General features: G+C 37.0%; 1 protein-coding gene and 1 long non-coding RNA gene across 3 annotated transcripts in view; both read left to right on the forward strand.

Moving 5' to 3' along the window:
• PLCB1 (phospholipase C beta 1) overlaps window positions 1–15,314 on the forward strand; it is a 752,635-nt gene that overhangs the window by 274,762 nt on the left and 462,559 nt on the right. The gene's annotated exons all lie outside the window — the stretch shown is intronic.
• Window positions 1–15,314, forward strand: part of LOC124900459 (uncharacterized) — a 112,238-nt gene that overhangs the window by 6,760 nt on the left and 90,164 nt on the right. The gene's annotated exons all lie outside the window — the stretch shown is intronic.

A 15,314-nucleotide genomic window follows, 5' to 3' on the forward strand; every position in this document is an offset into this window, starting at 1 on the left:
TCTGAGGCTACACAGCCCATTGCCTCCTGATATTTTAACTGTTACACATAACCAAGGGAGGAAAGCTAGAATGAATCATGTGATACTAAAATGAGACATGCATAGCTTAATTTAACAAATGGATAAATTTGAAAATAAAATTTTTTTTAATGTGAGCAAATAAGAAATCTTTCATACAGAATAGTCCCAAGTAACTTATGTGGTTAATGCACCCTTGATAGGCTGGAAAAAAACTCCCCAGCCTTTAAATCACAGATAACGAGTATCTTCCAAAGAGTACAATATGGAAAAAGGGAAAAAGAGTAACTTTCTCAGTGGAGAAACCTGACAAACACTCTGTATTAGTCCATTTTCACATTGCTGATAAAGACACACCCAAAACTTGGAACAAAAAGAGGTTTAATTGGACTTACAGTTCTACATGGCTGGGGAGGCCTCAGAATTATGCAGGAGGCAAAAGGAACTTCTTACATGGTGGCGGCAAGAGAAAAATGAGGAAGAAGCAAAAGCGGAAACCCCTGATAAACTCGTCAGATCTCTTAAGACTTATTCGCTATCACGAGAATAGCATGGGAAAGACAGGCCCCCATGATTCAGTGATCTTCCCTTGGGTCCCTTCCACAATATGTGGGAATTCTGAGAGATACAAATCAGGTTGAGATTTGGGTGGGGACACAGCCAAACCAAATCACACTCCCTCAGCCGGTGATCAGGTCAACATTTTCAGTATTAAGTCATGTTGCTGGTTTGTAACCTTGGTGTGATGTAATAATGACATTATCTGCTGGTCTTCTTCCCCAGAACCGAAAATTCCAGTCTAATCATGAGAAAATCATCAGACAAATCCAGATTAAGGGATATTTTGCAAAATACCTGAGCAGGATTCCTTAAAACAGTCAAGGTTTTCAAAAACAAGGAAAGTCTGAGAAAACTCGTGGTATAGGGGAACGTAAGAAGGCATGATGAGTAAATGCAATGTGGTATCCTAAATGGGATCCTGGAACAAGGAAAGGACACTAGGTCAAAACTAAGGAAATATGAATAGAATATGGACATTAGTTTTTTAAAAATATCAATATTGGTTGATTGACTGTGACAAATATATCATACTAATGTAAGATATTAACAACAGCAGAAACAGTTTCCCCTGTTGTAGAAGGTATAGATAGGAGTATTCTGTCTATTCTCTTTGCAACTTTTCTGTAAATCTATTTATAGACATCTAAAATAGTTGCTGTAGTAGGGCATGGTGGTGTGAACCTATAGTCCCAGCTAATCATGAAGCTGAGGTGGGAAGATTACCGGGGGCCAGGAGTTCAAGGCTGCAGTACATGAGGATCACACCTGTGAATAGCCACTGCACCACTCCAGCAGCCTGGGCAAGACCCCTTCTTAAAAAAAGGAAAAAAGAAAGAAAAGGAAAGAAAGAAAGAAAAAGGAAAAATGAAATAGGTACTGTAAAACTGTTCTGAATTGGAAGTTTTTTTTAAAAAAAAAAATCAGATTATGGCGACATAAATATTAGACATCCCTTAGCAAATTCTCTGATATTTTAAATCAGATGCATGGGACATACTGTAAATTTGTAGATAGCTGAATGCAACACATATTTAATACAATGATTCTTAACTCTGGATAGCTTTACACCTTTAAGCATATTAGCATTTTTGTCTGAGTAGCTGAAATCACACTGTAAAAAAAGTCAACTGTGTTAGGGTCTATTTCTAGCTGTGCCACTGCCCAGCTGTGGCATCTGAAACAAATTACTTCATCTCACATTCGGCAGCCTTTCTGCCCACGCCACAAATATAGTGCTGTGTGTTCAGGACACTTAAGAAGTCATGTAACAGTAATAATTTTTTTTTATTGCTAATAGCTATGTAATCTTATCAAGGTCTATTTGAATAAAGGGCTCTACAATCCAAAATATAGTTGATTTACTATCAAATAAATTTAATTTTCAGTATTTTACATGGTATTCAACATTGTAATTTAAACATTTCGTTTAGAAACAAGTAGCATTTCTGTGGGTTAGAGACTGATTTGGAGAGACCACATCCACATTCACTTACCATGTGTTCCCAACTAAATTAGCTGAAGATGCAAAAACCCAGTGGACATAAAGTCAGGGCTAAGGGAGAGAAAGTGTGTATTATCTAGGCTTTACCTGGGTAAGGAAAGGGCTTTTCTGTGATGGCATGCAACTGCCTATGACATTCTTTCTACAAGTAGGGTCTTGATGGAATTAAAGACCATAACTCGAACTTGCTATGCTACAAGCCTTTTCTATGGGGGACTATATTCCCATTCCACATAAACAACATTAGCAATCAGGGGTCTGCAGATATTTTCTTGAATGAAATTTGACATCTCTGAGGACCGACAAGGATACTGCTCATATGGAATGTATATTATTTTTATTATTATTATTATTATTGTTATTATTAATTTTGAGATGGAGTTTCGCTCTTGTGGCTCAGGCTGAAGTGCAATGGCATGGTCTTGGCTCACTGCAACCTCTGCCTCCCAGGTTCAAGTAATTCTCCTTCCTCAGCCTCCCAACTAACTGGGATTACAGGCGCCCACCACCACGCCTGGCTAATTTTTGTATTTTTAGTAGAGATCGGGTTTCACCATGTTGGCCAGGCTGGTCCCAAACTCCTGACCTCAGGTGATCCACCCACCTCAGCCTCCCAAAGTGCTGAGATTACAGGCATGAGCCACTGCACCCAGCTGGATTGTATATTCTGTTAAGAGTGGGGATCAATAATAGGAGACAATAAACAAGCAAATAAATAATATTATTTAAGAAATTGATATGAACTATGAAGAAAACTAAAGCAGAGTCACAGGAAAGAAGATGCTGGGGGATGAGGTCCCCCCATTGAATCTGATTTAATACACTTTTATTTGGGTGGTGCAGATAATGAGTTGAGTCTGAGGAAAATGATCATAAATCCATTTTCCTGATAGCTAAAAAAAAATTAGAACTAATAAAAACTGTAATTTTTTATAAATAAATTCACACTGTGTATGCTTTTTTTCTCTCTGGGTTGGTTCACTCAACATTATATGCATATATTGTTGGGTGTTACTGTAGATTGTCCATTTTCTTTGCTGTGTAGAGTTTTATTGTATGAATATACCAAATGTATTTATCCATTATACAATTGACAGTCTTTTGTATAGTTCTCGGTTTGGTGCTATGACAAAGAGTGTTGCTTTCAACATCCTAACACATGAGTCTGACACAAACACCTATGGGTGGAATTGCTGAGTCCTAGAGTGTGCTTATATTCAATAGAGCAAAGTATTTTCTCAAAGTAGTTGCCCTAATCTACATTCCTATTAAGAGTACAAGAGAGATCTTGTTCTCCACATCCTCACCAAAAGTTGATTAGTGATCCTTTTATTCATTTATGTCTTTCTAGTGAGTGTTCCATGGTAACACCTAATAAACGATCCTTTTATTATTAAATTAAATTTATATAATTTATTTTTATTGAATTTGATGTGCGTATTATGCCCAGTTATAAGTCCTGATGCATGAACCACACTTGACACGTGAGCCTCTACTCATAGGCCCATGCAACCTGCTTTTTTTTATTTTTAAGTTAATTTGTAATTTTTAATTGTAATGGGTTGAATAGCAGTCCCCAAAAAGATATGTCCATGTCCTAATTCTCAGAACCTATGAATGACACCTTATTTGGAAAAAGGCTCCTTGCAGATATAATTAAGTATCTTGAGAGGAAAAGATCATCCTGAATTACCCAGGTGTGTCCTAAATCCAGTGACAAGTGTCCTTGTAAGAGACATACTAGGAAGATTTGACACAGACAGAGGAGGAGGAGGCAATGTGAAGATGGAGGCAGAGGTTAGAGCAATGCCAAGGAATGCCTGGAACCACCAGAGGCTGAAAGAGGCAGGGACCTGAATCTCCCGTAGCAGCGTGACACTGATGACACTTTAATTGTGGACTTTTGATCTCCAAAACTTTGAGAGTCAATGTCTGTTCTTTTAAACCACCAAGTATGTGGCAATTTGTTATGGCAGCCTCAGGAATCTAATACATTGAAAGAGACAATTTATCACATCATCTAAAACTGCACCAGTGTGCTAACCAGCAGCCAAATTTAAAATGTAGCTGGTCCACACTGGATGTACTGTAAGTGCAAAATACACAGTGAATTTTGAAGTCTTAGTATGAAAAAAGGGATGCAAAATATATCATGAATACCTTTGCATGTTATTAATAGGTTGAAATGATAATATATTGGAAATATTGAGTTAAATACATCTTAGTGTTAAAATTAATTTCACCCATGCCTCTTTACCTTTTTAAAAAATGTGACTACTGGAACATTTTAAAATATATGTATAACTCACATATTCTATTAGATAGTGCTACCTAAACAAGAGTGGGAACATTTAGAGGTCTGTCTATAAGAATTACAGCCTAACTGTTGTCAGTACATCATAAATTCATTCTTTTAGTCTTTGTTCACCCAATGAAAGAGTAGACTTTTATTGGGCTTCTGTTTTCAAGTTCTGTTGCACAGATTGGGGTATAAATATAGAGATCCTGCATTCCATTTGTGTAAACTATTGGGGTCTATACAGAGACCCCAATAGCAGAAGAGCATGTGGATCTGCTACCTGACAAACAGAGGCATTTTCCTGCATAACCCTTTCAAATAGGAGACAATTTCCTGGCCGGGCACGGTGGCTCACTCCTGAAGTCCCAGCGCTTTGGGAGGCCAAGGCCAGTGGATCACCTGTGGTCAGGAGTTTGAGACCAGCCTGACCAACATGATGAAACCCCATCTCTACTAAATACAAAAAATTAGCCAGGTGTGGTGGCGCATGCCTGTAATTCCAGCTTCTTGAGAGACTGAGGCAGGAGAATCGCTTGAGCCCAGGAGGCAGAGGTTGCAGTGAGCTGAGATTGCACCATTGCACTCCAACCTGGGCAACAACAGCAAAGACTCCGTCTCAGAAAAAAGAAAAAAAAAGAAGACAATTTCCTCAGTAAAGAAATTGACGCTTATAAATAATAAAATTATGGATCAGCTTACCCTAGTTATTGCATGTGGAGGAATACATTGTAAGGTATTATTAGTTATTGCTACAGTAAAGCTGCATAACAAAACCCATCAAGCACAATAGTTTACAACAACATGCATTTATTTTATTGTTCAGGTACATATATGCTGGTGAGTTATGCTGTGTGCTGGCTGAGTTTGGATCCAGATAGCCAGGATCCAGTTAGCCAAAACCAGTCACATGGTCTAACCCCAAATCAGTGGGCAGAGATGTACACAACCCCCTACTTGACCCCACTGTGGGGTTCCAGAGGGTGGGACTGAGGATTTGAGAACAATTATCACATCCACTACACAAGAAAACATCATTTTCCTCTTCTATCTGACTGTCATTTCAATAGCAGGTTCACATTCATTGATTATCTAAGATGTGATCAAATTATGCAGTAAGAGAAGCAGGAAGTCAGAGATGAGTAACTAGCTAGGCCCTGTCTTAGAGGATTTTATGGTCTAATAGAGGACACAGGTCCATTATTTGACCTCCTTGTGCTTCCTCATCCATAAAGCAGATAGCACTACTGCTTGCTTTACATGGTTATCCTGAAGATTCATATGAAGGGCAACTCATCAAGATTATAAGATTATAAAGATATAGCTGTTGTCTGTATCTGTCTATCTAGTTGTCCATCTAGTTATTTGGTTTGGCCTTGATTTTTAAAAACTAGCTGCAGCTATATTGATATGTGCTTTGGAAATAAAACAACATGGAGGAAACACAGCATGTTAACGATGCCTATATTTGGGTTTTGGCATAATGAAGAATTTGTTTTTCTTTTTATATGTTTCAGTATTTCCTAAAATTTCTTTCATGATCATCTGTGACCAAAAAAAAAAAAAAACCAATATACATTTTAAAAGATAATTTACCCAGCGAATTGGTTTAACTGGGGAATTCTAGCTCCAAAATTTGTTTTATTTGCTAAAGACTTTGACCAAATTGTGTAGATAATTATGCAAACATTAATGTTTACTTTGTTTTCATAGCTACCACCTTGGAATTTTCTAGAAAATGTTTTATTTTTAATATACATTTATGGATTTGATTTCTAATAATTTGCATTATTTTTATTTTAATATTACATATGTTTAAACTATAAACAAGGAAGTCAGACATGTTTTTCTTGCCTCAGCCTTACTGTTATTTAGAATTGTCAAGTATTAATGTTTCCCTTTCGTTGACAAAGATGGGGTGTGCTGCCACAGGAAACCCTTGTTATATGGAGGCTCTTCCAGCTTTATTTAAATTGTGAACATTTGTACTTAATAACACGAACAATGAGCAGTCTGGATTTTTCTTTTTCAAGTTGTCAGTGCAAGTAAAGGCATTTTAAAATCCGAATCTGCTTCCACCAGCAGTTTTGATAATTAAAGTACACAAAATGTATCAAACATTTGAGATAGGCCAAGTATTCCGTTGAATTTGTTACAGATCTTGAAGTGGACTCAATCACTACTTGCTACTTTTCAGAGAACCTTTCCAGGTATACTAGCTAGGTATGAATATCAGAAGGCTATTACCACTGTTTGACCACAAAGGTAAAGAACATCCAATAGACAACTAAATTCTAGATCTTTCTTTATTTGCGGTATGGGAAATTTTTTAACATATTCTGAATCTTTTATTTTTTGCAACTTTCACTGTCTCAGATTAGACTTTAAAACTCAAGAGCTAGAATAATTGGTCTAGCACCATCTCTGGTGTCTTCTATGGATGCGTTGCCTACAGTATATTCTGTCATCATCTGTGGTTTTCTAAACTGAATTGCATTTAATTTCAATCAAGCAATTCATGCTGTATTTGAACTTCAGGCATATCTTTATTTTCCAGAAAGCCTGTTTATCATATGGCCACTCCTGACTTCCTGAAACTCTAACAGATTAACTGAGAAGAAAACAAGTATTATATTTCTAAGGCATTTTCAGCTAGTGGAAAAGATAAATGACTATATGAGTCAATAAAAAAGTATAATTTTCATTGAAAGGTAGATTGGAAGAGCACTATCAAGACAAAAAAAAAAGAATCTGTTTTTAATGAAAATGAAGAGATCTGTTTTCTCAATCGTCATACTAAAAAATGAGTGGTGTCTGCACATATTTTTATTTGGGATAATAAAATTGAACAAGATTATTGCTAAGCCAGCATACTAAGGAAAGAGGACATATAAGCCATATCAAATTTAATGTAATTGCCCCACACTATCTTCTACAAGAAACAAAAACAAAAAACAAACAAACAAAAACTTGGAAATAAGATTTGTGAAGTGCACATTGTCTTGATGACCCATGGAATTTCAACCAGCTCTTTTAAAAGAAGTTTACCTATAAGATGCCTTAGACACACCCTCCCTTTCTGAATCCTGTATGAATGCGTAAGAGAAGAAAAAATGCCACAAACAGCATGGGATGTTGGAAAGAATTGGGGAATGTGAGAAATAGAAAGGAAAGATTAAAACAATCAAAAATCAAAGAAATGTAAAGTATTACTTGAGAACATTTCTCTGATGTTTAATCTAATATTCTATCCAAAGCTTTCTGCACTGCTAGAAATGTTCTGTATCTGTGTTGTCTGTATAGTAGCCATTAGCCACATGTAGCTGTGGAGCATTGGAAATGTGACTTTTGTAACTGAGGAAATGAATTTCTAGTTTTATTTCATTTTAAGTGTAAATAGCCACATGTGGCTAGTGGCTGCCTTATGGGAAAGCACATGTTCACAGCTCTACCTCTCAAAGTATGTTTGGGAGTTTATTAGAAATATAGCATCTTGGCTCCCACCCAGACCTACTGACTCAGAATATGCATTTTAACAAGATCTCCAGGCAAGTGGTTTGCTCCTGAAAGTTCCAGAGGCCCTGCCCTAGAGCAATGTTCACTTGCTAATTAACCACCCATTCAGAAACACTGAGAATTCTTTATTGTTATCATGGGTGAGTGAATATTAGCAGTGTGTTCATTTTATCCACAGAGGAGTCCTTGATGCAATAGGGTGAGTCATAATAGTGCTTGAACTGCTTACTTTAAATCTTTTCCCAAATGTGAACAAAACTTACCCTGCTGATTGATCTGTTGATTTTCCCATTCATGAAACAAACAGAGTCCTTACATGGCAGGTGGAAGGGCATTAAGGTTTACTCAGCATCTCTAGTTGCAGCTGGATGTGTACCTTATTTCTCTGTAGTAAAAGAAGTCTTGACACCTGAATTAAAAAATTATCATTAAAAAGTTTAAAGGAAGGAAACATTATAAGTGTTCGAACTAGAAAATGATGTTGACAATTTATTGCATTTGGCCCCTTTCCATAGGTCTTAATTTGGAATCCTGCAAAAGCTGACTCTGAGAAAAGCACTTGTATACAGGTGGATTATTTGAAAGTGATCCCAGGTACCATAGTGAGTGGAGTAGGGGGAGTGAAGCAGAGAAAGGAGAAAGGTCATTAAAGTGTACTTGGATGAGTGGGCCACTGATACGAACAACTGGGGTTCAACCCCTCTTGGGGCCATCTGAGAGGCTGGGCATGTAAGGGAGGAAGACATCAGCATGTGTGGGAACTGTGCACCTAAGCTGCAGGAGTCACCTTAGATGGTGGACATGGTGTAGGACACCAACAGGGTCTTGTACACCATAATAGGAATTGCTTATGTAATGGGATCCTACCCTTCATGTGGGGCAGAAAAATATCAATGTCTGCTGGGGAATGAAAACCAAGATCCAGGGCAACACCATGAATCTGGTAAAAGTCTGCTAGTGGTCAGTTTGCCTTAGGTAGGTTGTTGCTCTTGGCCACAGGGTGTAAAGGAGGCTTTGGACTTAGTGATCCCAGAGGTTATTCCCTGCTCTCATGCCAGTATTCTTCTGCAGCTTTCCTCATCAATGTTTATATATTTCTTTCTTTTTTCTGAAACTTGCTCTTTCACTCTGTCTCTCCCCTAGGGAACACTAAAAATAGCCTGTAGGTTAAGGAATCTCCAAAACACAGGTGTGATTTGTTTGAAATTCTGTTTGACTCATGTGTGTTGAGTTACTTCTAAATTCAAGGTATTGTGACTACTTGAATGATATTTTTTAGAAACAAAATAATGAGAAAACTTGGTCTGACAAGGGAGATTTTTCTGATCTTTGTATGCATTTATTTATGATTATCTGAAGCGTGATGTAAAATAACTTATGTATATACATAGCACAGTGAGTTCTGGATGGAGAGAAGACTAATTATTTATAGAAAAAGTCTTTTTAATGTAAAAATATTACATTGAATTAGATTTAGTTACATATGATCAAATTGTCATTTCTAAATAAAACAAAATTCTGAAGGCTGTCCTTGAAAATCAAAGAGATGTGTCACACTAGCTGCGGGGGGTGCAAAGGTATGCTCACTAACATTAAGTAATTTACTGTCCCTTTGGAAGGTAATATATATTCCCCTAAACAGGAAAAGTAAGTTTGCAAGGGAGCATGGTTTATGTACAGTCACAGGAGTAGGGCTTGTAAAAGATTCTGTAGATATTGAGGAGGAGGTATGTGTGAGACAGAGCATGGGATTTAACATGTATAGTAATGACCTGCTTGGAGATGGAAGGATTTGAGCCAAGTTTTGAAATGTGAGGGTTTTGTTTAGAGACTCTTTCAGGAAAATGAAGCAAACAGAGCTGAGCATCATCCTGGTAGCCTGACTGAAGAGTACTTGGCAAATTAGAGAAGATATAGTTGCAAATGGCAGGGAAGAATGTGAATGCTACGCATAGTGCTTTTGGGAAATAGTCCTTGATGGTGTCTCTTTTACAGTTGAAGAGACAGAATACACACACACACACACACACACACACACACACACACACACAGAGTCGCTTCAGCTGTAAACACATATATATGTAGTTTTAAATACATATATGTGTATACACACACACACACACACACACACACACATATATATATATATATATATTTTTTTTTTTTTTTTTTTTTTTTTTTTTTTGAGATGGAGTCTCACTCTGTCGCCCAGGCTGGAGTGCAGTGGCGCAATCTCGGCTCACCACAAGCTCCGCCTCCCAGGTTCACGCCATTCTTCTGCTTCAGCCTCCTGAGTAGCTGGGACTACAGGCGCCCACCACCATGCCCAGCTAATTTTTTGTATTTTTAGTGGAGACAGGGTTTCACCATGATACACTTATATATTTTTTGTCTCTGGTGTGTGTATATATTATGTATACACACACATATATAACATACGCACCCACATTTATAACACACACATATATATGTATATAACAAATCAAATTTGATCTTAGCACTAGGACTCTGTTGTACCAATAATTCAGGGTTTTTTTTTTTTAGTTCTAGGTAAAAACAGTGTCATTGATTTACTATCAGTGAATTCATGCAAATTCATATATTTGCATTGGTCGAGTGCCTTGTACTACAACTACAATGTTGAATAGAACATGTTCTCTCTTTTAGGGGAGCTCAAGATACAGGCAAACAAATGACTACACTTCAGAGCCATGTCATAATAAAAGTGCCCATGAAATGATATACAATCTAATTCTAATCAGATTCTCCAATTGACTTGCTATTTTATTCCTGTTCTCAATGGACTCCCATGTACTTTGTAAGGAGACAGAATGTCTGAGCAGAGAATCTTTAGAGAGAAAATCGTCAAATACCATCTTGGATACCAAATGTCCATCTTGTACTTGTGAATAATAATTCAGTCTAGCAGGATGTCCTCTTGCAAACTGAAATGAGCCTACAGTCCCATCTGTGGGAAAACAAGAGGACTCCTAAGTGTTACACACAGGATGTTGCTGATCTTGGGTCACCTGGCTAGCACAGGGCAGCTGTCTGCAGTCCTTTACCTCTGGCTGGATTTCCTCCTTCAACTTCTAAAAGTCCAAGGCTTGAGGACAGTTCCCTGGTGAAGATCACCAGCATCTTCTGTGGGCCAACTGAATTGCTGAGGTGGGAAGTAGTAAAAGTCAGAGTTAGGGTCTAGTTTGTCCTCCCTCTCTCTCATTTTGTGTCCAGCTTTCTTTCCCAACTGCCAACCTTGATTTACAGTTCAGTTAAGTCCCAAAAGTAGATGCAACAGCAACAATCTTCAGTGGACTTCAACAGTTCCCTCAGTTTTGTAAGAGTGAATTGCTCTGAAAATCCCCGATTCTGTGTCACTCTAAGTGGCTCTGCCTCCCTGATCATGTGTCAGCTGCATTCAATCCTAGCACCAGCCCAACCTTCAGGCCACCTCCACCATCACTCACTGGGCGATGTGTTCTGTGCTTGAATATCTTCAGAACATGCAGATTTGTCCTAAACAGGCCTAGGAAATGAATATACAATTATACATAAATTTTTATTTTATCGAAATTTGTTGTGAGTAAAATGGCAGTCCCTTATCTACTGATGGAGTACCTTCTAAAAGCTTTCCTTCTTATTCTTTATCAAATTATTCATTTAATATAAATTACTTATATATTTTTATGTATTTTATGTATTTTTTCAGAGATGATCATTTGGGTTTTGAAAAATTATATTGTAATAAAAAATCAAAATATTTACATTTATATGAGGATAATTCCTTTGTCCATGAATTTATGGACTTATTTAATGGTAGTCTAATTTTCTTAAAGCACTAAACTCTAGAGGCATGGGTTGGCTGAAACACACAGATGACTTTGTTGACTCTAACCCAACTATCCTAGAGTAAGATTGGTTCTACTGGGTGAAATGATCCCTCTTCTCCAATGCTTCTGATACCCCATTTCATTGTCTGCCTACACAGAGGGGAGAGGGCAACAGCTGAGGTTTCTTACAGTCCCAAGAGAACCATTTTTAAAACTCAGTCTATATAAAATATTTCCTGGATGTTTTCACCAAAGCTCATTAATGTAATTTTCACATCATTATTGCAGCTAATGATCATGTAAGCGTTCCTGATCATGTGGAAAATTAAAGATGTTAAATTAAAATATTGACACTGATGTTAGTAAGTAATGATTGTTTATAAGATGTCTGGATTTAAAAGCTTTGTTTACTTAATTTGTTAAAAATGGAAGTTTACTTGTCTTTGGTGTAGAAAATTAAACATGTGACTCTGAACTTTGTAGAGTGCTTAACAGCTTTTATAATACTTTTATAGGGGATTTACATTTGTTATGGGAATAGTCTTTTTACTGACTCTGCTTATATTTTCAGAAATGTGTCTTTAGCCACTAGCCGAGGACAGACCAATAAACAGCATCCAAAAATGTTAATGATTATATATGGTTCCAGAATTTACAATGGTTTGTGTTATGATTTTTTTTAATTTTACAGTGGCTGGAAAGTGAAACACATTCAATAAAAACTGTATTTCAAATACCCATACAATGATTCTACTTTTCACTTTCAGCACAGTATTCAATAAGTTGCGAGAGATATTCACATTTCACTATAAAATAGGCTTTGTGTTAGATAATTCTCCCCAACTGTAGGCTAATGTAAGTGTTCTGAGCATGTTTAAGGTGGGCCAGACTAAGATACGATGCTCAGAAGATTAGGTATAATAAATGCATTTTGATTTATAATATTTTCAACTTACAATGGGTTTATCGGAACATAGCCCCAACATAAGTAGAGAAGCATTTTTATTATAGTGATTTTACATGGAGGCAATGGCAGGAAATGGAACCAGCTGTTCAAAAGCATACTTTGTTTGTAACTTAAATGTTTATACATCCAATCTTCTTATAAAGTTTGAATTTTTTTAAGATAACTATACTAGACTTAATGTTGTGGTGGGTTTGTGACTGTCCTTGATTTTAGTCCTCAAATATCTATAGCAGCAGCAGTTTGTATCTGAAATTATTACAAGGGGATTTGCCTATTAGAAATATGCCTAAGTTCCATTATTCATTAAGGTCACAGCAGCAATTCTGATTAATGGAGCTGATTCTTGATAGCTGTGAGGATACTTCCAATACATATTATAACTTTTACAACAGAGAAAGCCCTTAATTTCCTTACCTGTAAAATCTGAGTAATAATTCCTGCCCTATGAATTGTAATGAAAATGAGAGAAGCTCCCAAAATGATCTAGATGAGACAATCAGGTGGAGATAAGACCAAGATGCTAGGAAGTCAGCTAGCCACTTTCTCACATCTAGCAAACTGCTCCTACCTACTATCCTTGCAAGAGGCAGAACTCAGATTTGTCATTTTTAAATATTCAGTGAACCACTGGGCTTATTCAGGATTATTTGAAACTATAAATACATATATTTTTTAAAATTCTTGGATTCAAGGGGTACGTGTACAGGTTTGTTACATGGATGTGTTGCATGATGGTGACGTTTAGGTTTCTAATAATCCCATGGCCCAGATAGTGAACACAGAGCCCAATAGATAATTTGCCTACCTTAACTCCCCACCCTCTTTTGGAATCCCCAGTATTTACTGTTGCCATCTTTGTGTTCATCTTTACCCAATGTTTAGCTCCCACTCATAAGAGAGAACACGTAGTGTTTAGTTTTCTGTGAAACCATAAATATTAAATGTAAGAGTAACAAGAGTCTACTGAATAGCTACAGCAGCATTCCTTAATGTTATCTTTTTGAATAAATACAATTTTGAAAGCTTCAGCCCTGCACATCAGGTCAATGCACTTAAGTAGCTAAACAAGAATGTCATAATTTGGTGCAAGACTGCACTTCAGGTATTCCAAGTATATCTGTGAGAGTAGCAGAAAGGTCCAAATCAGAAGAGAAAATTTGCCATCTTCATTCAGAATTTCTTAATCTTACTGGAAGTACATAAAATCTGTTTTTGTTTTAAATACCCTGATGGAATAGACCAATTTGGCAGTCTGAAAAAGAACTAAAAAAGCCCAGCTGTCCAACAAAGTCATGTCTCTAGGAAGAGACACACTGAGGGAAGGATGTAACTGAGAGAAATAAGACATAGGCCTCAGATTTCCTAGTTGGGCCAATGAGAAGAGTGAACAGCATCATTATGTGGAGAAAGTGAATTATAGAACCTGATCGTTATTTGTGAGCTCATTGATGTAATGAATTTGCTTACACAGTTTATATGTGACAAAGTTTTGTATGTACCCACTTCTCCTTGTCCTTAGGCAATAAATTGCCAAGAGTGTACAGACTTGGCCTTCTTGCCGAGAAAATTTGTGGAAACTGCCTTTTCAGAAAGAAGCAAAAATTAGTACAAAACATTGGGACTATTTTTTTTGTTTTGCCTTGTTTAATTTCTTTTTTTAAGACAGTCAAACCCCTGAGGGTGCACCCTTGGAATAACAGAAGTTTAGGATAGGAAAGAGTCTCTATGGTCAGCTTGCCCTATTGAAGGAGCACCCAAGACCATCAGATGGTCTGCAGAGAAAGTGTTTATGATGTAATATCAATACATTTGTGAAACCTCATATGTCATAATGCTCTCTTGAAGAGTGACAATTCATATTATCATGTTAAAGACTTTAAGTCCTACATTAAAGAAAACACTTTAAGTTTAACCCAGTGGTTCCCAAACTTTTTTGGCCAAAGATCCCTTTAATCCCTAAAACCTTTGCATACTTGTAAATGTTTATTTAATCCAAGCCTGAATTTGTCTTTAGTAACTTCCTGCTTAACATATGGTCCTTAGACGAACGGCATCAGCATCACCAAGGGCTTATTAGAAATGCCAGTTCTCAGGTCCAGTCTTATATCTATCAAATCAGAATCTGCATTTTAACAAGATTCTCAGGTAAAATGAATATGCATGCTGAAGTTTGAGAAGCACAGGCTCAGTATTCCTTCTGACTCACCATCTTCACTTCGTTGAAGTTAAAGACCTGCTGAGGAAATGTCTTATGCACAGCATTTAAGCAATATTACAACTACAGGCAAGTTGTACCTGCAAATAGTATTTGCACATGCTGCCTCTCTAGTTTCTGTGATGCTGGGAGATGTCTTTCAGAGGCCTGAGTGAGTCTTTACAACCTGCTCAATTTGTTTTGTGAATTATGAGTGATGAAATTCTAGATTACAAATTGCAGACAAAGAAGTCTGTGCCTTTTCCCAGGCATAGCGTCAGCTGGTGAAGTTTATAGAGCCAGATGTATTTAGTAGAAATCAGAGCGTGACTAACACTTCAAGAAGAAGATTTGCAGATGCACAAAAAAGAGCAGAGAAGTCCAGAATTGCAGCTTGGCTTTCAAATATGATTATTGGTTTTTTCTGACAG

This window comes from Homo sapiens, chromosome 20, assembly GCF_000001405.40.
Source record: "Homo sapiens chromosome 20, GRCh38.p14 Primary Assembly".
NCBI lineage: Eukaryota > Metazoa > Chordata > Mammalia > Primates > Hominidae > Homo > Homo sapiens.